Here is a 2,060-nt window from a genome sequence, read left to right on the forward strand (position 1 = left end):
TAAATAATGGAATATTATTTGAAATGCCAAGAGAACCGCACTTATAAAATAATCAGAATAAACTTGTATTTTTAATTATTCATGCTTCACAAATAGTTTGTTATATCTTAACTTTTCTATCCTAGCACAAAGTGATTTCTCTCTGCTAATATCTACACACACACACACACACACAAACACACACACACACATACACACACACAGTCTTTCAAATCATCTCATTTAATCTTAACAGTAAAGATTCAAGCTAGGTGTTGTTATATGTTTTATAAAAAGGAAAAATGAGACACAGAGAATTAAAAGTTTCATACAGCTGACTATCAGAGCAAGATTTTAACTGAAGATGTCTGAGTCCTGAGCACTTAATCACTGAGCTAATGTTTTATCTTAAGATATCTTGTGTTTCCATTTGTAGCATCAGGAAACCTAAATTTTAGTAGGTGTTTCTCCAACTGTATGATATCAGATAACATATTTATGTTTTCATGACCCAATTTCCTCAAAGAAAGCATTTAGATAGTTGTACAAGGGATATCTGCTTAATGAATGAATTGATTAATGAATTTTAATTTATAACTATCAATGTGTTTCTTTTTGAAGAACAATCTCTTTATTTCTGAGACAAAATACATGTGGAGTCTCTACAGAGAAAGTAGAGAAGATCAAATTATACAAACGTGTATGTATATATAATCTACAAAAGTCTATAAGCAAAATTAATTACTACTGAATTTTACAGGTAAAAAATCAAGGTTAAATCAAGGATCACATATTCAGTAGGAAACAGAAATTTAGAAGTCTGAAGGGCAGTTAGAAGCTGAGAAATGTATTTCTAGAGTTCACGTTCTTAACTATTACGCTATACTAGATCTTAAATAAGACTACTTTTGTTAAATTTTTTTCTTTAGCTTGAATTTGCAGTTATTTAAGATAGTTAAAGGAACAGCAATAGAGATAAAATGGCCACTTTCATTACTGAAAATGTTGTAAGTGGAGAAATGAATTTTGATGCACGGCAGAAATGGACGGTCATTACGATGATGATTTGAATCCCAAAATAGACATTTGTATTCACCTTGTCACAGGTAGCACTAGAGAACCTCAGACCTCTCCACATGGAAGCATGCCTGGGAAATCCTACAGTGTCGAGACACAGTGCACAGTGTGGAGTGCATACTTACAAAGGGCAACTAGTACCTAAAGGCAAAAAGAGAAGAGAAGGGCTGAGCTAACCATGCTTAATTTCTACCCCCAAATATGTCACATGGAGTGGAAAGGCCAATATTGCGGTTCCAATAGCGATCACCTCACATTGAAAGTAGAGGTAACAGAAAAGACTGATCCTCCCTACATTCCTTTATGGAATACAAGGAAGTAGAGGAAGACAGTCTGAAAATAACTGAAAAAAATGACAATAAAAATTCATGCCCGTATTTTAATAATGTTTGTTTAATTTTTGATATCATTATAGACTTACAGAGCATTGCAAAAATAGTATTAGGTTAGTGCAAAAGTAATTGCAGTTTTGCCATCACTTTCAATGGCCAAAACTGCAATTACTTTTGCACAAACATAATACAAAGAATTCTGAATACTCTACACCCAGCTTCCCTTAATATTAAAATCTTAACTAATCATAATTCAATTGCCACAGCTAAAAAACTATCAATGTTACATATTATTAGATAAATAACAGATTTCATTTGGGTTCTCTAATGTTTTCACTAATGTTCTTTTTTTTTTTTTTTTTTTTTGAGACAGAGTCTCACTCTGTCACCCAGGCTGGAGTGCAGTGGCACGATCTCGGCTCACTGCAAGCTCCATCTCCGGGGTTCACGCCATTCTCCTGCCTCAGCCTCCTGAGTAGCTGGGACTACAGGCACCCGCCGCCACGCCAGGGTAATTTTTTGTATTTTTTAGTAGAGATGGGGTTTCACCTTGTTAGCCAGGATGGTCTTAATCTCCTGACCTCGTGATCCACCTGCCTCAGCCTCCCAAAGTGCTGGGATTACAGGTGTGAGCCACCGCGCCTGGCCACTAATGTCCTTTTATGGGTTCAA

Source organism: Homo sapiens, chromosome 21 (genome assembly GCF_000001405.40).
Source record: "Homo sapiens chromosome 21, GRCh38.p14 Primary Assembly".
In the NCBI taxonomy this organism is placed as follows: domain Eukaryota; kingdom Metazoa; phylum Chordata; class Mammalia; order Primates; family Hominidae; genus Homo; species Homo sapiens.